General features: G+C 38.1%; 1 pseudogene across 1 annotated transcript, besides 4 other annotated features; it reads left to right on the top strand.

The window, feature by feature from the left end:
* Positions 1-854: 854 nt before the first annotated feature.
* On the top strand, positions 855-2,271 carry SPRR2C (small proline rich protein 2C (pseudogene); annotated as a pseudogene). The gene is made up of 2 exons (NR_003062.2): positions 855-960; positions 1,659-2,271. The product of NR_003062.2 is annotated as a small proline rich protein 2C (pseudogene) (transcript).
* Positions 1,023-2,222: an enhancer, noted in NCBI's record as "CDK7 strongly-dependent group 2 enhancer chr1:153112641-153113840 (GRCh37/hg19 assembly coordinates)". NCBI's record gives its function as "activates an origin of replication core promoter dependent on BRD2, BRD4, P300/CBP, MED14 and CDK7 cofactors, with strong dependence on CDK7, by STARR-seq in HCT116 cells {active_cell/tissue: HCT116}" and the evidence as "EXISTENCE:reporter gene assay evidence [ECO:0000049][PMID:35650434]".
* Positions 6,660-7,161: an enhancer, noted in NCBI's record as "NANOG hESC enhancer chr1:153107702-153108203 (GRCh37/hg19 assembly coordinates)". NCBI's record gives its function as "activates a minimal SCP1, AML or CMV promoter by ChIP-STARR-seq in primed H9 embryonic stem cells {active_cell/tissue: H9 hESC(primed)}" and the evidence as "EXISTENCE:reporter gene assay evidence [ECO:0000049][PMID:30033119]".
* Positions 18,859-19,602: an enhancer, noted in NCBI's record as "OCT4-NANOG-H3K27ac hESC enhancer chr1:153095261-153096004 (GRCh37/hg19 assembly coordinates)". NCBI's record gives its function as "activates a minimal SCP1, AML or CMV promoter by ChIP-STARR-seq in naive and primed H9 embryonic stem cells {active_cell/tissue: H9 hESC(naive and primed)}" and the evidence as "EXISTENCE:reporter gene assay evidence [ECO:0000049][PMID:30033119]".
* Positions 19,314-19,403: a silencer, noted in NCBI's record as "silent region_1337". NCBI's record gives its function as "represses an Ori minimal core promoter by ATAC-STARR-seq in GM12878 lymphoblastoid cells {active_cell/tissue: GM12878}" and the evidence as "EXISTENCE:reporter gene assay evidence [ECO:0000049][PMID:35858748]".

Raw genomic sequence — 19,828 nt, 5'->3', positions numbered from 1 at the left:
TCTAGAAAACCCCATTGTCTCAGGCATGGTTCAATAAATAGGTTTTAGGTGACTCCTTGTGGTTTTTGTTCACTTCTCTCCTTTCTTTAATTTGGCGATTAAGAGTACATTTTTTAATTCCTTAAAAGGTCTGTAGTACACATCTTTGAGGGCAGCAAGGAGGAAAAACACCGAGGGGACTTGATTCCACTGTGGAATCTGTCCTAGCAGAGAAATGCCTCTATGGATTGGGTGGAAAAGACAGCTCTAAAAACACAAAGAATATAGGTCAAACCCAGGATTATATAGGAAAAAAAAAAGAGAGGAAAAAATTTCAGGCTTGAAGAAGAGTCTACAAATAGCACAATGTGGACAGTCTCCAACCCAGAGCCAGGTATTATTCTCTCCTGTGAACACAGAAAGACTCAAACCCAGGGAGGAGAAGTGACCTACCTGTGATCACAGGACTTGCCAATGATAGAACTATGTTCAGTTTCTCATTACTTCTAGCAAATTGGCAAATTATACTAAGGGAGTAGAGGTAGAGTTGAGTTCATGTACAACAATATAGAAATCAGCTAAAGTGGATCAGAGCAGGAAGTTTTACAATTCAGGGAAAGGTTAAGATAGAAAGGGATCCTTTCCCCCAATCAAGAAAGACAGCCTTGGACCACCAGTTAGAGAATCCCCCAATTTTCTCTCTGCCATAAGTCACTGAAACTGAGAGCTAAGGCAGGGCCTCTGTGAGTCATGAGCACTTAATCCAGCGGGAGACCTCAGAACAGGATATTTCCTTTTTTGAGATTCCCTGTCATACCAGTTATGGATAAATTTGCATTTTGGATGGGACATTACTGGACCAGCCCATTTTAGGCAGTTCCGTTTCCCCCTGGGTGGGGCAGCAGGCCCTGTGAAGAGGTTCTCAGCCTCATGACTCCTAAACTCCTGGTACTTGAGCACCGATCTGCTTTGGAGAACCTGGTGAGTCTGCTTACTTGAATTTCTCTGTTCTTTGGGCCCTCAAAAGTTGAATTTAATCTGAAGACAGAAAGTATGGTTGATCCAAACCTCTGATGACAGTTTTGACACTACTTAGTGGATGGAACCTTAGGATTAGATCATAATGACACATTGTTTTAGCTTTTTTTTGTAAGTAGCTTGGTGTTCATATGAACAGCGAAGTTAATAGGAAGGCTTTGATTTGAGGAAGAGGTAAAAGCAAAGTGTTTTTCCTTTTTTCTATATCTTTCTGGTGTCCTTTTCAAACATTTGTGTTTTAGCAGGTGTGAGAGCCTGCAATTCTTCCCAAACAGCCCTTTGCTCTTTGCCCATCAGCCCACTGGGGCTTTACAACAGATAATGATGATAGGAATAGCTTCTGAGATTGCCCAGAGTATCTGAACTTGTGACTGCCTTTCATGAAGTGGTTATTTTCATGCTTGATTCTTTATAACAGAGATATTTTCTTTAGAAAAATTGCATGAGAAAACACAGGATTTCCCAGGGTTGATAAAGCAATTTGCTAAAGTGGAAAGGAGAAACCAGAGAGTCATGAAAAGGGAATTAGGAGTTTAAATAATTTTTTGGAGACTGGAGAAATAGCCCATGGTATTACATAAACGTTGGCTTTTCTTTGTAGGAGTCCCTTCCTGTGAACCCTGTTATATAATTTCTTTCAGATTCTGAGACTCCAGCAGGATGTCTTATCAACAGTAGCAATGTAAGCAGCCCTGCCAGCCACCTCCTGTGTGCCGCCTGCCAAAGCGTCCAGAGCCATGTCCACCCCTGAAGTGCCCTGAGCCCTGCCCACCACCAAAGTGTCCACAGCCCTGCCCACCTCAGCAGTGCCAGCAGAAATATCCTCTGGTGACACCTTCCCCACCCTGCCAGCCAAAGTGTCCACCCAAGAGCAAGTAACAGCTTCGGAATTCATCAGGACCACGAAAGGATAGGGATAATTGGCTCACCTCGTTCCACAGCTCCACCTGCATCTTCTCATCAAAGCCATCCAGGGATACACAGGGAGCTTCTTTCCCCTTAGCCTGTGATCTGCCCATGATGATCCCCGACAGCAAAATGTTTCCTTTCTGAGGCTGCCATGCTGCCACTGTCCAGGTGGAGACTGAGCAAAGGAAGTCCTCAGCTGTACCGGCCTTTCAGAGCTTCTCTTTGGGTGCCATCAAAGAATTATTTTGATGTCTTCTGTCTCTGTCTGTCACCTGGCATGAGCTTCTACTATCTGTGCAATTGTCACTTTTCTTTCACTCCCTGAATAAAGTAGCTATGCCTATATTTTTGTGAATGGATATTTCATTTCTGTTTAAACCTACTTTATTAACAATATCATATGATCATTTGGATTTATTTCTATCTTTCGTTGGTCCCCAGGACCAGGCTCTCATGATTATTGTAGGAATTTTGGGTCATACTAAAGATTATTTCTGTGTGATTTTAAACCCGTTTTATTTTCCTTAGTTAGTGTTTTGATTGATTCAAGGAACATATTATTCAACTTCCCCAAATGTCAGTCTCTTTACTGCAAAGTGAGCAAAATAACATTTACATAACAAAGCTAGTCTAAGGCATAAAATTGAATTACTATCTGAAATTTGGTTGGCAGAATGCTTGACACATAATTAGCAGTCATTTAATTGAGGTTTATTAGCAGGAATATATCATCCTTGTCTTCATCATCATCATCATTATCATCATCACCAGCATCACTACACCACTACAACCACCACCATAGTTGCTCCAGCAAGAGAGTAGCTTGGATATAACTAATACAGGAAATAAGAAGAGTCTCTATTGCTATTTTTTAAGAATTCATAATACTTGTATACAATTACGGGGTACATATGATATCTTGTTACATGAATAGAATGTGTAATGATCAAGTCAGGATATCAGGAAATTTAGACTATCCATCGCCTGGGGTATTTATCATTTTTCTTTGTTAGGAACATTTTAATTTTTCTCTCCTAGCTATTGTGAAATATAGAATACATTGTTGTAAACTAGTCACCCTACTCTACTGTTGAATATTAAAACTTATTCCTTGTATCTTTTTGTTTGTACCCATTAACCAACATCCCCCCCATCCCCCACAAATACCTTTCCCTGCCTCAGGTATCTTATCATTCTATTCTCCATGATATCTATCTCCATGATATTGACTTTTCTAGCTTTATATGAGTGAGAACATGAGATGTTTGCCTTCCTGTGCTTGACTTATTTCACTTAAGATAATGACCTCCAGTTTCATCTATGTTGTTGCAAACGACATGATTTCATTCTTTTTTGCAACCAAGTAGTATTTCATTGTATATATATACTATATTTTCTTTTTCCATTCATTCGTTGATGGACACTTAGGTTGATGGGCACTTAGGTTGATTACACATCTTTGCTATTGTGAATAGTGCTGAAATAACCATGGAAGTTCAGGCATCCCTTTGATATACTGATTTATTTTCCTTTGTATACACACACAGTAGTTAGATTGCTGAATTGAATGGTAGTTCTATTTTTAGTATTTTTTGTGAAATTGCTATTATTACCTGTGCTTTTGAAGTCTTACCCGAAAACCCCTTGCATACTCTTACATCATAGAGTATGTTTCCTGTGTGTTCTTCTAGTAGTTCTATAGTTTCAGGTCTTACATTTAAGTCTTTAATCCATATTGAGTTGGCTCTTGTATATGATGAGAGATATAAGCCCATGTTTCATTCTTCTGCGTATGAATTCCATTTTTTTCTGAACAATTTATTGATAAATTTGTCCTTTCCCCAATGTATATTCTTGGCATCTTTGTCAAATTCAGTTGGTTGTAAATATGGAGGTTTATTTTTGGGTTCTTTATTGTTTTCCTTTGGTTTATGTATCTGCTTTTATATAATAGCATGTTATTTTGTTGACCATAGCCTTGTAACATATTTTGAAGTCAGGTAGTGTGATGCCTCCAGCTTTGCTCTTTTTGCTCAGGATTGCTCTGGCTATTCAGGGTGTTTTTTGGTTCCAAATGAATTTTAGAATTTTTTTTTTCTATTTCTGTGAAGAATGACACTGGTATTTTGATATGGATTCATTTAATCTGTAGATTGCTTTGGGCAGTATGGTCATTTTAACAATAGTAGTTCTTCTGCTTCATGAGTATGGAATATCTTTCAATTTGTTTTAGTGTTCTTTAATTTTTTTCATCAGTGTTTTGTAGTTTTCCTTCTAAAACTTTTCATCTCCTTAGTTAAATTTATTCTTGGGTATTCTTCTTTTTTGTAGGTGTTGTAAATGGGATTGCCTTTATAATTTCTTCCTTAGCTAATGCATTATTGGTGTATAGAAATGCTATTGATGTTTATTTTGATGTTGTATCTTGTAACTACTGAATTTATTTATAAAATCTAAGAGTTTTTTGGTGGTGTCTTTCTGCTTTTCTAGATACAAGATCATGTCATCTGCAAAGAGTAAAAATCTGACCTCTTCTTTTCCAATTTGGATGGTTTTCTCTTGTCTGAATGTCCTGACTAGAACTTCTAGTACCTTATTGAACAGGAGTGATGAACGTGGGCATCCTTGTCTTGTTTCAGTTCTTAGAGGAAAGGTTTTCAGGTTTTCCTCATTTAGAATGATGTTGACTGTGTGTTTCCCATACATGGACTTTATCACATTGAAGTATGTTTCTTCTGTGCTTAGTTTGTTGAGTGTTTGTATCATGAAGAGATGTTGAATTTTATCAAATGCTTTTTCTTCATCTATCAAAATAATTGTATGTTTTTTCCTTTATGGTATTGATGTGGTGATTTATGTTTATAGGTTTCTGTGTATTAAACCATCCTTGTGTCCCTGGGATAAATCCCCCTTAATCATGGTATATAATCTTTGGATGTTTTGTTGATTTCAGTTTGATAGTAATTTTCTGAAGATTTTTGTATGTATGTTCATCAGGGAAATTGGTCTATAGTTTTCTTTTTGTGTGTGTGTGTCCTTGTCTGATGTTGGTGTCAGAGTAATGCTTACCTCATTGAATGATTTAGGAAGAATTCCCTTCTCTTCAATTTTTTTGAATACTTTGAGGAAGAATTTATGTTAGTTTTTCTTTGAAAGTTCGGCAGAATTGAGCAATGAAGGCATCTGTTCCTGGACTTTTCTTTGTTGGGAGACTTTTCATTACTGGCCAATCTCATTACACCGTACAAGTGTTCTATTTCTTCCTGATTCAATTGTGGTAGGTTGTATGTATTCAGGAATTTATCTATTTCCTCTACATTTTCCAGTTTTTTAGTATATCATTGTTTATTATAGTAAGATCTTTTGTATTTCTGTGGTTTCAATTGTGATTTTTTTCTTTTTTCTTTGTTTTTGTTCATTTGTGTCTTTTCTTCCCCCCGCCTTGGTTATTTTAGCTAGCAGTTTTATTTATCTCCTAACAAACCAACTTTTTGTTCATTATTTCACTTTTTGTTCATTATTTCTTTGTGTGTGTGGTTTTTTTTTTGTTGTTGTTGTTGTTTTTTTTTTTTTAGTATCTAATTTGTTTAGTTTTGCTCTGGTCTTCATTATTTCTTTTCTTCTCCAATTTTGGGTTTGGTTTGCTCTTGCTTTCCTAGTTTCTTGGGTGACATTGTTTATTTAAAATCTTTCTGCTTTTTTGATGTAAGCATTTAATGCTGTAAAATTCTCACTTAGCACTGTTTTTATGTAATCCATAGCTTCAATAGTCATTTGTTTTAAGAAATTTTTTTATTTCCTTCTTTTATTTTTTTTCATGACCTAACGGTCATTCATGAGCATGTTGTTCTATTTCCATGTATTTGTACGGTTTCCAAAATTCCTCATTATTGATTTATAGTTTTATCCCATTGTGATCAGTTTCTGGTTTTATTCCAAGAAGATACTTGATATGATTTCAATATTTAAAACTTTTTTTAGACTTGTTTGGCATCCTAACGTATGTTCTGTCCTGGAGAAGTTTTCATGTGCTGATGAGAAGAATGTACATTCTGTGGTTGTTGGATGAAATATTCTGCAAATATCTGTTAGGTCCATTTTGTTAAATGTGCAGTTTAAAGTTTCTTTCTTAATTTTCTGTCTAGATGATCTCTCTAATACTGAGAGTGGATCATTCAAGTTTCTAATTATTATTATATTGGATTCTCTCTCTCCCTTAGATCTAATAATAATTGTCTTGAATATCTAGGTGCTGTAGTATTGGGTGTGCCTGGATTTATAATTGTTATATCTTTTTCTATGCTTTTATAATTTCAGTCTATATGTGTCTTTACAGATTAGATAAGTTTCTTTTTGGATGCATATAGTTGTGTCATGCTTTTTATCCATTCAGCCAGTCTATGTATTTTAAGTGGAAAGTTTAATCCATTTACATTCAAGGTCATTATTGAGATGTGAGGGCTTATTAGTGTCATTTTATTAATTAGTTTTTGGTTATTTTGTGTATCTTTGGTCCTATCTTTGTCTCTTATTGTTTATCATTGTAATTTGGTGATTTTCTATAGTGGTAACATTTCAGTTCTTTCTCTTCTGTGTTTGCTCTACCAGTGGGTTTTATACTCCCGTGTGTTGTCATCGTCATGGATACCATTTTTTTTTCTTCCAGGCATGACTCCCTTTAATATTTCTTGTAGGACTGGGCTAGTGATGATGAAGTCCCTCAGTTTTTGATTGTCTGAGAAAGACTTTATTTCTCCTTCATTTATAAAGGATAACTTTAGGGGGTATAGTATCCTTGTTTCTTTTCCCCAGCACTTTGAATATATCATCCTCTGTCTTCTTGCCTGTAAGGTTTCTGCTGAGCAATCCACTGTTACTTTCATGGGGATTGCCTTATAAGTGACTAGATCCTTTTCTCTTGCTGTTTTTAGAATTCTCTCTTTATCTTTGTCCTTTGATAATTTAATGATAATTCATTGTGAAGAAGATCTTTTGAAATTGTATCTATTTATTTCTGAGTTTCCTGTAACTGGATGTCTGCATCTTTTGCTACATTCCAGACATTTTCGGTTATTGTTCTGTTAAATAGGTTTTCTACCACTTTTGTTTCCTCTTCACCTTCTGAGACATTGAAAACCTGAATATTTGGTTGCTTTATGTTTCCTATATGCCACATAGGTTTTGTTCTCTTTTTAAAAAAAATTCTTAAAAAAATGTTTATCTGACTGGGTTATTTCAAAAGACCTACATTAAATTCCTGAAATTCTTTATTCTACTTGGCCTAGTCTATTGTCAAAACTTTCAACAATATTTACTTTCTTTCATTCAATGAATTCTTTAGTTGTAGAATTTCTTTTTTGTTCTATATTATTATACCAATTTCTTTGGTAAATTTCACATTTATATTCTGAATTTCTTTTTTGATTTCTTTGTGTTGTTTATCTGTGTTCTCTCGTATCTCACTGAACTTTTATTATTATTTTAGATACCGTGTCTCACTATGTTGCCCAAGGTAGACTTGACCTCTTGGGCTCAAGTAATCCCTGCTTCTCAACCTCTGGCATAGCTGGGACTACAGGAATGTGCAACCACACTGGCTTCACTGAGCTTCTTTAATATCATTATTTTGTTTTATTTTATAATATTTCATAATTTTTCCCCAATGGAATCTGCTGCTGGAGAATTATCATTTTTTTGGAGGTATAATATATCATTGCTATTTCTTATTTCTTATGTCCTTACATTGATATCTGTTCATCTGATCTAACAGTTGCTTCTCCTAAATTTTTGAATTTGCTTTGGTAGGAAACAACTTTTTTTCTGAAGATGTATGATATTGGTTGGGTAGAGATTTTGGCTTTGATTCTGGGTACATACAGAAATGTTGTCTCCTTGTGATTCTTAAGCTGTGAACAGTGTCATTGGTGTCTGTGATTTCCTCAGTGGCTAAGGGTGTTAGTGTAATCTGTGGAGAAGTTTTGCAGGTAAAGGGATGCCAGGTGAGCCAGTTCTTGGTTTCTAGTGGTGGCAGTGGGGGGCTGAGCATACCTGTCCTTGGGCCCCAGGGTAGCATATGATGGCACCCATGGTAGTAGGTACAGGGGGGCCAATTTTTGGGTCTCCAGGCAACTTTCTCCGGTGCTAATAGTGGCAGCAGTAGGCCAGGAGGTTGGGCAGATCGTTGGGGCTCTAGGTAACCAGTGTGGCATGGGCAATGCCAGTAGCAGTGGCAGAACCACCCTCTGGTTCCCAACTGGTCTACTCTTGGTGGTGGCTGTGATGGCCCTGGTGGCCCAGTTCCAATGCCTGTAGTTGGTGTGTGCAGGTATGTGTCAGCTGTGGTGGTAATGGCAGGTTTGGCTGCCCCATTCTCAGGCCCCTGGGAGGAGTATTCAGGAGGCAACAGTGGTACATAGGGCTGGGTGACCTCCAGGTTCCTGGAAGGCATGCTTAGCCACACGGGGGACAGGGTGGAGCTAGGTGAGAAGGACATGTCCTCAGGCTCCCTGGTAGTCCATGTACATGCTAGCTGTGGTGCACAGGGGCGAGGTGATTCTCAGGTCCCTGGTGGAATGTGCTATAGCCCTGCTACTGGGGAGGGCTGGGCTGCTTTCTGTGGCAACAACTGTAGGTAGCTGGCTCAAAAGTGTGCACTTTTGCCCCAGATGGTAGTTGTGGGTGAGAGATTCTTTCCTCAAGACACTTTTGAATGCATGGCAATTCCAGTACTGGAGGCAGTGGAGTCACGGCCAGTGGCCCATGCTTCAGTGGAGGCAGCCAGCAGTGGTGGTCACTGCAGGCAGGGGAGTCTGACTTTGGGGCATGTAAAAATGCATGGCAGTGCTGCTGCTGGGGCAGTGTGTCATTGCCAATGGCTTGTGTTTCAGCTATGGTGGCTGCAGGCAACTGCAGTCATGGCTCTAGATGAAGCATGTCAATGGGACTCCAGGGAGGTGGAGATGCAGGGGTGGTTGGGCCTGAGGGTAGGAGGTAGTCTAGGGGGGACTAGACTCTCACTATGGTGCCTTGCTTAGCTGCTTATGACTTGGGGGTGTGTGGGATACAGTGTGAGATTCATCTCTGGAGTGGTGCTGTTTCATGGTCTCCAGGCAGCTCCCTACGTTAGTCTCAGGGCCTGAGGGCATTGAGAGGTTCTCCCATGGCTAGGATTGCAGGAGTCTGCAGAAGGGATGTGAATCCCTGGGGATCTCTCCATTACCCTTTTTTTGGGTTGAGAATTCTCTTCAGGCTCCCAGCCATCCTGACTGAGCAGGTTACCGCACTTCTCTCTCTTTCCTGCTTTAAAGGTTTCTTGTCACTTCTCTATTTGAATTCCAATGTTCTGTCTTAGATGATCTATTTGAAGTGTGATTATATACTAGCTATTTTGGTTCTTCTTCATGGGAGAGGTGAGTACCAGCTGCCACTAGTCAGCCAAATCGCTTGAAGCCCTCCAAATCTCTGAATTTTTAAAAGGTATTAGATGGTTATATTAACAAAATTATTCACTATTCTCAAATTTTTTTTTCAGTGTGATGCTGGAATCTCTCCACTGGACTCCTGGATTCTCAAAGAAATATTTATGTCTATGGAAGGCGATCAAAATTGGTGTTTCTGTGGAGTTATGAAGGCCAGAATAATCTAATCCACCACGTAAATGATGTCACTCCGTTTGTCTTGGGTTTTAATTGTAAAGTTGTTATACAAATTAAAGATATTTTGAAAAACAGTCTAAAATAAATAAAAGTCTAGACCTTGAAAAGTCAGAAAAAAAATTATTCAGACGTGCCCACAGAGAAAAACAGCAATAGTTTTTCTCATATTCAGTTCTGCTTCCCAGTAGGAAATACTCCTAATTTTTTCGTTTTTGTTTTACATTTAGTTATTTTGATTATTAGTTCCATACAGCTAAATAACATATCTATTTCTGGTTTTGATTTATTAATTTTAGAATATCTTTAATTCTTGCTATCACAAGTATCAGATATCTATCACCATATTAATACCGCATTACAAATAACCAACAAATCACAGCAGCATTTATCAATAAGCATTTATTTTTGCTCACAGGTCTTAGTGTTAGCTGGAAGGTCTGCTGTACCAGTCTGGCCTCAGTAGCTGATCTCAGCCCAACCCCCTCATGCACTTGTGATCAGCTGGTCCTGGATGGCCTCCAGGTGTTAAAGCTCTTCTCCATGTGGCTTCTCCTAATTCCACACTTTAGTCTCCACATGTTTCCATGGTGGTGAGATTTGGAGAGAGGGCAGAAGTTTGCAAGGGCTTGGGCTTCTACTGGCACACATCATATCCACCACCTTCTCTTGGCCACAGAAAGTCACAGGCCAGCTCTGATTCAAGGGGTTGGGAAAGTGCTCTCTGTCTCCTCTGCCGTGAGAATAGCATGTATCAGATAGACCCAGCTCCTTTGATTAGATTCTGAATAGAGACAATCTGTAAAAGAATTGCAATGAATTCACAAAAGACATACGTGAATGAGAAATCAGTCTTTGTTACTGTAAGCCACTGAGAAGTTTTTTCTTTTTGGTATTTCAGTATTGTTCAGCTATAGTAGTCTAGCTTAAAATACAAATATTGTATTCTATTATCATGCTTAGTCTATAGGTTCATTGTAAAGTTGAGGATCAATACAGTTTTTTAATTATTATGGCTTCTAAATATTATTCACTGACAGGCCAGTTAGTGACTATATTTCCTTTTCTCTATCACTTTCTTTCTCCTTTTCTCTTGCCTTATTTTATATTTCTTCCTTAAATTGCTCTGAATTGTTAAAAATGTATTTAAAATGATATTAAATATTTTGATTGACTCATTTTTCCTGGACTCTTCCCTACTGAAGGACAGCTTCCCCCTAGATAAATCCAGACTGGTTGCTCCTTGACCTCCTGCATAACTGTCAACCTGGAATATTTGTTTTTTCTTTAATATGGGTTGAAGCCACTTTTTGTTGGTTCTTGTATTTTCTTCCTTCTTGGTTTATCTCCTGATTTTCCTGTATTACTTAAGAAAGGACAGCTGAAACATGTTTTTGAGTCCTTTCATATCGGAGAGTGGCTCTATTCTACTGTAACATTTGAATTTTGGATTGAAATCCTTTTTGTGTCTAATCTTTGAAGATTTCTGTTCCATTATACTTAGGTATTGAACACTGCCAGTTTTTATTTTTAAAGAAGCTTCCTCAGAAGATTTGGAATTGTTTCTTTACATGTTGCTTCAAAATTTCACATTTAATGAGTCATTTTTAAAACATGCACTGGCAGTCAATTGGGCTTCTCATCTGGAATCCTTGTGTCTTTTAGATCCAGGTAATTACCTAGGATTTTTTAAAATTGATTTCATAGCATCTATTTTTTTCTTTCTCTATTTCTGAAATTTCTATTGACTGGAAGTTAGATCTTCTGCATTGGGTCTCTATTATCTTGATGTTTTCTCTTATGTTTTTCTTTTCTTTCTTTTGCTGCACCTTTTGGAAGTTTCTTTGAACTTCACTACGTGATTCCTGTTTGGGGGGCTTGGCCACAGAACCTGGAATGATGACACAGTCTGTGCTACCATGGCCAGAAGTTTGCTTCTAGGTGGCTGTCCACACGGATTATAGTCTCCTAGATGAGACCACAACTGGCTTGATTATTTCAGCAATCAAATTATTTCAGCTATTCACTCAAAATTTGAGTGAATAGCTGCCACTCAAATTTTAGACTACAAAACTAAATTTTAAAAAATATCCTAAAAAAACAAAAGGAGTATGCTTTAGGTATCATATAAAACTGTTGCTTTTGTTCTCTGAAGCCACTTGGATTATATAGCAGTAAATGGCATGGCATTTGAGGACCAGGTAGTAATAAAATTATTAATAGATAACTATTTTCAAGCTGTTGAGTGTGGTGACTTTGTCTCTCAGTAACCATGGTCAATAATTTCATATAAAATCTCCTCTAAGGCAACACTATGAGCCCTGGAGAATCCTGGGACCTGCTGTCCTGATGGAGGAGGTAGCCCTACCTGAAGCTGTGCCTGGAGCTCAGCTGGAATCCAAGAGTCACATTCCCAGCAATACCTCCTCCAAGTCCCTTTATCCTCCTATTCTTCCTTCTCCTCTTAGAAAACTGCATTCCAGGGGTGAGCCCTGATAATCTGGGTGGGCCAAGATGCTCTAGCAGGATCAATTGGATTTTTTTTTTTTTAACAACTGAAGGCACCACTGAATAAGAGGAGAGTTGGTCAGAATTAGGGAAAATAGATTATATAAATGCTTAATTAATTTGTATTAATTGGGTCTTGTATTAGTCCGTTCTCATGCTTCCATGAAGAAAGAGCTGAGACTGGATAATTTATAAAGGAAAGAGAAATTATAAAAGACTTAACCGACTCACAGTTCTGCAGGACTGGGGAGGCCTTAGAAAACTTACAATCGTGGTGGAAGGAAAAAGCAAACATGTCCTTCTTCATATGGTGGCAGGAAGGAGAAGAATGAGAGGCAAGTTAAAGGGGAAGCCCCTTATATTCAGCGTTCACAAAGCTCATTTAAGACAAAACCCACATTCCTTTACAGAATTTAGATCTACAGAGTTCAAGTCTTGGTTCAGCTCTCTAAACTCTCTGTTAGTCATTAGTTTGTTTTGCTCACGACTAAAACACTACTTTGTATTTTGAAAATTTCTCACTTTATTACTGTGTGTGGAGAAATAGGCTTTCTCTTCTTGGGAATGCAATTTTAAAACAGACTAGAAATCATAAGAGTTATGATGACAGACAGATACCGAAAACACCGGGGTATTTTAATGAAAATGGCATCTTAAGTTATTTATCAAACGTGTGGAAAGTAGCTAAAGTTACTTCTAGAAAAATTGAATACCATTAAATACTTATGTCAGAAAAGTAAAAGGTACAATATTAAGTAAAGTTCTCATCTTATAATTTTAGAGAAGGCAAAGGAAAGTAAATGCTAAGGTAAAAAATAATAAAGATGAAAATAGAAAGGAAAGAAGTACAAAGCACACTTTGGAGAAAATAAATAAATCAAAGTGTCATATATCTGATTAGATTGAAGGTCACCATCAGGAATGAAAAAGGAACATATAAAGGGAGCAGAAATTATAAAGATAACAGGAAGATATTAAGAACAATTTTATGATAATAGATTAGAAAATTTATATAAAATAGACAATTTAATTAAACAGCTAACTTAAAAAAATGAACTCAGAAAGAAACAAAATACTGAACTACCCAGTAACTAAATATAATTGAAGTAGTACTAAAACATACTTTTGTATGGAAAATTCTGGACCAGAAGGTTTTACCATTGATCTACCACATATATTAAAAGAAGAAATAATTTCAAACTTTCAATTAATTATAAATTGTTATGTAAAAGTAAAAAAAGCATATTCAACAATTCCTGATATGGGGCTAACAAAACTGCGATTCCATGCCTGACCAGGATGTTTTTCAGAACATAAAAGATGAAAGAAAAAAAATCAGATGATCCTTTCATGCAGTAGAATAAAATGATTGGCTAGGTGCAGTGACTCATGCCTGTAATCTCAGCGCTTTGGGAGGCTGAGGCGGGCAGATAACTTGAGGCCAGGAGTTCTAGACCAGCCTGGCCAACATGGTGAAACCCTGTCTCTACTAAAAATGCAAAAAATACAAAAATCAGCTGGGCCTGGTGGCAGGTGCCTGTAGTCCCAGCTACTCAGGAGGCTGAGGTAGGAGAATTGTTTGAACCCAGGAGGCGGAGGTTGCAGTGAGCTGAGATTGCACCACAACAGCGTGAGACTCTGTCTCAAAAAAAAAAAAAGAATGAAATGATTGATAAAAATCAACCTCTATTCATGGTTTAGCCAAAAAAAAAAAAAAAAAAAAAGAAAAAAGAAAAAAGTGCTTAGTAAACTAGCACTGGAAAAGATTTTATTTAATCTAAACAAGAGACACCTACAAAAAGCCTATCACAAATATTATTCTTATTGGTCATCTAGTGAAAGCTTTATCCACATGGGTGTTCTCCCTGTGTCTACTCAAAATTGTGCTGAAGGTGCTCAACAATGCAGTTAAGGTAAGAGAAAAGAAATGCAAAGAATAGGGATTAGAAAGGTAAACAATAATAGCAACCAAAAACAACAAAATAAAAATAATTATTACTATTTGTAAAAGATAATCTGTAGATTAAAATGTAAAAGAATTACAAATAAACTATTATAATTAATATGAGGGTTTAAAAAAGTGCTGGATTCAAAATCAGGAACCAAAACAACTCTGTTCCTGCATGTTAGAGCAAACACTTAGAAAATAAAATTGTATAATATGAATCAATGTGTAAAAATATGTGAAGGACATAGAAATAAATCTAACAAAATTTGTGCAACATTTTCTTGTGTAGAAATAGAGTGACAACCATGTGTGTGAATTCATGACTCAAAATTGTGGAAGCATCAACTTTCTCCCACGTTGATGTCTGGATTTAAACCAAATCCTAATTAAAAACCCAACTAAATAAACTGATTTAAAAATATGTGTGAAAATGGGAAAAGGTCAAGATTGAGTCAAAATGTTTCCTTATAGTTAATATATTTTATTCTGTGCTTGATTTCTAGCTGACACAGGTCTACCCTTAGATCAGCTTCCCCTGGATGGTCAGGTGATTTGCCCATTCCAAAAGCATTTTCATACTATTCTAAATCAACTCCATTAAGTGTCTCGTTAAGTGTTGGAAACTATAAGAAAATAAAAAAGCTGAGAAATACAAGTTATAATAGGTGCCTGAGGGGAAATTAGTTGGAACCTATTGTTTTGGAATAGTTGCAACCGCAGTGTTAGGTGTTGGGAGAAAGCCCATGACAAAAGAAGGATTGATCAGGAGTTATTAGCTGAAAGCAGGAAGATCACATTCTCCAGAACGGAAGCAGAGAGCAGAGGTCCCTAGCAGCCATCTCAGGAAATACTTGTTATAACCTGTGCTGTTGTGGTCTGTCTCTCTCACTAGCCTGCAAGTATGTGAAAAGGCAGGGATATAGTCATGATCTTTGTTGTAGAGCACATGTGGCTTATCAATTTGTCAATGAAGGAATGCTTGGGATTTTGGTTTACATTTTATTTTTCTATACAAGAATGAAAAATAGTTAAATCTTGAAAAAAAAAGAACTCTAGTCTTCATTCTGAGGGCAGCAAAGTAGAAGAGTGCTGAAAAGCCAGAATCCCATTCTGTAATGAATCCTAATGAGAGATGCTCTCAAGGTTTAGGCAAGAAATGAGCATTTAAAGAAAAGGGATCATAGACTATAGAGAAGGCTCTGTGAGAGGAAGAAAATGTGTAGAGTCATTGAGACTGGAGCAGGGTCAGTGAAAACTCCTGTGTCATCCTCACCTACACCTCATCTCCATTGCTCAGAAAAAGATCCTGGGCAAGACTGGCCAAGGAGACCCTGCTTCTCAATGATTGACCTGGGGCCAGAACTAAGGTCTCTTGAGGACCTGCCTGATATTTTCTCTGTTCTATCTGCTGCTCTATTTTATGGAGAAAATAAAAATTACACAGATGACACTTAATCCCTTCAAATTGTGTGCTAACTGGGAACAATGTTAACAAATATGAACATCAATAACATTTTGAAGCAATGATAATTCATAGTGAACTTCTTAAATGAAAGGTAGTTAATAATAATGCAAAGTTAATCACAACCTAATGAAGAACATCTCACCATTATTAATAACCAAAATATATTTAACCAAAATAACCAAAATATATTCAAAAAATAGTTAATAAAAGTACATAAATATAATTGCTCATTGGCATACTAAATGATGAGGTTAATGGATAGAACTTTTTGAAGATAGCATGAGAAAAGATGGGAAGTAATAAGCCAAACTCTATTTGCCCTTTAATGTTTGGAGCAATCAAGATAAGTCAGCTTGTGGAAGACCTGTAAGACTTAATACTGTACCATACTTCAGCAGATACGAACAGAAAACCTCCATCTTACCAGCCAAAGACCAAGCCCCTTGCAGACCTAATTAGATGGAGAATTTCTTGAGATTCTGGAAGATTCTTGGTGGTATAAGACAGTGCAGTTTTTATCAAAGCTCCAAGGGTCCTGGTTATGACTGTAAGGCAGGGTGCTCTTATGTTTACTAATGTGAAGAAGGCTAAGGGAAGGCATTTCATCCCCAGCTAAAACCATTTGTGACCTTTAAAGAAGCCAAATCTATGTAGGTTACAAATGGGAGCAGTTTTATCAGCAGCCTGTCTACCTGACTGCTGATAAAACTGCTCCCATTTGTAACCTACATAGATTTGGTCTAAAATCTGCCATTCTGTATCTTTTAAGTGGAGCATTTAGGCCATTTACATTCTATGTTAGTATCGAGATGTGAGATACTATTCTATTCATCATGCTATTTGTTGCCTGAATACCTTTTTTTTCTTCATTGTGTTGTTTTATATGTCCTGTGAGATTTGTGCTTTAAGGAGATTAGATTCTATTTTGGTATATTTTGAGGATTTGTTTCAAGATTGAGAGCTCCTTTTAGCAGTTCTTGTAGTGCTGGCTTGGTAGTGGTGAATTTTCTCAGCATTTGTCTGCAAAAGACTTCACTTATGAAGATTAGTTTTGCTGGATACAAAATTCTTGGCTGATAATTATTTTGTTTAAGGAGGCTAAAGATAGAACCCCAATCCCTTCTAGCTTGTAGTGTTTCTACTGAGAAATCTGCTGTTAACCTGATAGGTTTTCCTTTGTAGGTTACCCGATGCTCTTGCCTCACAGCTCTTAAGATTCTTTCTTGTTTTGACTTTAGATAACCTGATGGCTATGTGTCTAGGTGATGATCTTTTGGCAATCAACTTCTCAGGTGTTCTTTGAGCTTCTTGTATTTGCATGTCTAGATCTCTAGTAAGGCCAGGGGGGTTTTCCTGGATTATTCCCTCAAATATGTTTTCCAAATTTTTAGATTCCTCTTTTTCCTTGGGAGCACAAATTATTCTTAGGTTTGGTAATTTAACATAATCCCAAACTTCTTGAAGGCTGTGCTCATTTTTTAAAATTCTTTTTTCTTTCTGTTTGTTGGATTGGGTTAATTCAAAAGCCCTGTCTTTGAGCTCTGAAGTTCTTGCTTCTACTTGTTCAATTCTATTGCTGGGAATTTCCATTGTATTTTACATTTCTCTTAATGTGTCCTTCATTTCCAGAAGTTGTGATTGTTTTTTAATTATGCTATATGTTTCTCTGGAGATTTTTTAATCCATATCCTGTAACGCTTTACAAATTTCTTTAAGTTGGTATTCACCTGTCTCTGGTGCCTCCTTGAGTAGCTTAATAATCAAGCTTCTGAATTCTTTTTCTGGCAATTCAGAGATTTTTTTCTTGGTTTGTATCCATTGTTGGTGAGCTAGTGTGATCTTTTGGGGGTGTTAAAGAACCTTGTTTTGATATGTTACCAGAATTGTTTTGATTACTTCTCACTTGGGTAGATCATGTCAGAGGGAAGATCTGGAGCTCAAGGGCTGCTGTTCAGATTCTTTTGTCCCATGGGGTGCTGCCTTGATTTGGTGCTCTCCTACTTCCACTAGAGATGTGGCTTCCTGAGAGCCAAACTGCAGTGATTGTTATCTCTCTTCTAGATCTAGCCACCCAGCAGACCTACTGGGCTCCAGCCTGGTACTGGGGAGTGTCTGCAGGGTCCCGTAATGTGATCCACCTTCAGGTCTCTCAGCCATGGATACCAGCACTTGCTCTAGTGGAGGTAGCAGAGGAGTGAAGTAGACTCTGTGAGGGTCCTTACTTGTAGTTTTGTTTAGCATGCTGGTTTTGTGTTTTGTTGGCCTCCAAACAGGAGGTGGCACTTTCCAGACAGCATCAGCTGCAGTAGTATAGGGGAGATACAAGCTTGCCCCAGGGTTGCCTGGATTGTTACAGGAAGTCAGGGACCCCGAATGGAGGGACCGACTGAAGCCATGGCAGAATAACATAAATTGTGAAGATTTCATGGACATTTATTAGTTCCCCAAATTAATACTTTTATAATTTCTTACACCTGTCTTTACTGCAATCTCTGAACATAAATTGTGAAGATTTTGTGGACACTTATCACTTCCCCAATCAATACCCTTATGATTTCCTATGCCTGTCTTTAGTTTAATCTCTTAATCCTGTCATCTTTGTAAACTGAGGAGGATGTATGTTGCCTCAGGACCCTGTGATGATTGCGTTAACTGCACAAATGTTTTGTAGAGCATGTGTGTTTGAACAATATGAAATCTGGGCACCTTGAAAAAAGAACAGGATAACAGCAATGTTCAGGGAACAAGGGAGATAACCTTAAACTCTGGCTGCCTGTGAGCCAGGCGGAACAGAGCCATATTTCTCTCCTTTCAAACGCAAATAGGAGAAACATCGCTGAATTCTTTTTCTCAGCAAGGAACATCCCTGAGAAAGAGAATGCGTCCCTAAGGGGAGGCCTCTGTAATGGACGCTTTGGGATGGCTGTCTTTTATGGTTGTCGTTAAGGGGTGAAATAAGCCCCGGTCTCCCATAGCGCTCCCAGGCTTATCAGGACAAGGAAATTCCTGCCTAATAAATTTTGGTCAGACTGGTTGTCTGCTCTCAAACCCTGTCTCCTGATAAGATGTTATCAATGACAATGCATGCCCAAAACTTCATTAGCAATTTTAATTTTGCCCTGGTCCTGGGGGTCCTGTGATCTCACCCTACCTCCATTTGCCTTGTGATATTTTATTACCTTGTGAAGCATGTGATCTCTGTGACCCACACCCTATTCGTATACTCCCTCCCCTTTTGAAAATCCCTAATAAAAACTGGCTGGTTTTACAGCTCAGGGGGCATCACGGAACCTGCTGACATGTGATGTCTCCCCCAGATACCCAGCTTTAAAATTTCCCTCTTTTGTACTCTGTCCCTTTATTTCTCAGACAAGCTGACACTTAGGGAAAATAGAAAAGAACCTATGTGAAATATCTGGGGTGAATTTCCCCCGATACCAGATAAGTATTTCGTTTTCTCAGGCAGTGGGCAGGGCCAGAGAACTTCCAAGAGATTATGTCCTTTGTCTTCGGCTACCAGTGTGGGTAGGGAAAGACCATCAGGTTAGGGTAGGATTAGTCATGTCTTAGCTCACACTCTTCTTGGGTGAGGCTTGCTGCAGCTGCTGTGTGGGGATGAGGTGTGGTTCTCAGGCCAATGGAGTTATGTTCCCAGGGGTATTATGGCTGCCTCTGCTGTGTTGTACAGGTCACCAGGGAAGTGGGGGAAAGCCAGCAGTTACAGGCCTCATTCAGCTCCCATGCAGCCTGAAAAACTGGTCTCACTCACTCCCACTGTGCCTCCCTAATAGCACTGGGTTTACTTCCAGGCAGCAGGTGAGCAGGGCTGAGAATTTGCCTCTGGCTACAAGCCTTCCTGCTGAGAAAGTAAGCAGGGCTCTCAGGTTTCACACCTCCCTGTCTGCTGCAGCTGCTGTGCTCACATTCACCCCCTCCCCCGGGTTCCGTCCAGGAAACTTCATGTTCAGTTGAAATTGTTACAAAGTTCAGCTGGAAGTTTCCTTCTGTCTGTGGTCTTTCCCCACTTCCACTGGCAGCCCTCCTCAAGGACTCCTGTGAGACAAAGTCAGAAATGTCTTCCTTGGGGACTGAGAGTGTCCACAGGGCTCTTTCTGCTGCTTCCTCTCCCCTGTATTTCACTTGACTGTTTCTTTATTTGTAAAAAATTTCCCATGCCTTTTACATAATTTTTATTAGGATTTTTTTTCTTATTTATGTGTAGGAGTTGGTAGTATAGAAGAAAACTTTATTGAAGCAAATCTTCATTTTTCTTAATATGTTTATTAGCTCTAATGGGGATTTTGGGATAATATTTTAGAGTTTTTTTAC

Source organism: Homo sapiens, chromosome 1 (assembly GCF_000001405.40).
Source record: "Homo sapiens chromosome 1, GRCh38.p14 Primary Assembly".
In the NCBI taxonomy this organism is placed as follows: Eukaryota; Metazoa; Chordata; class Mammalia; order Primates; family Hominidae; genus Homo; species Homo sapiens.
Note: the sequence above shows the minus strand (reverse complement) of the source record. Positions and strands in the feature narration are given on the sequence as shown.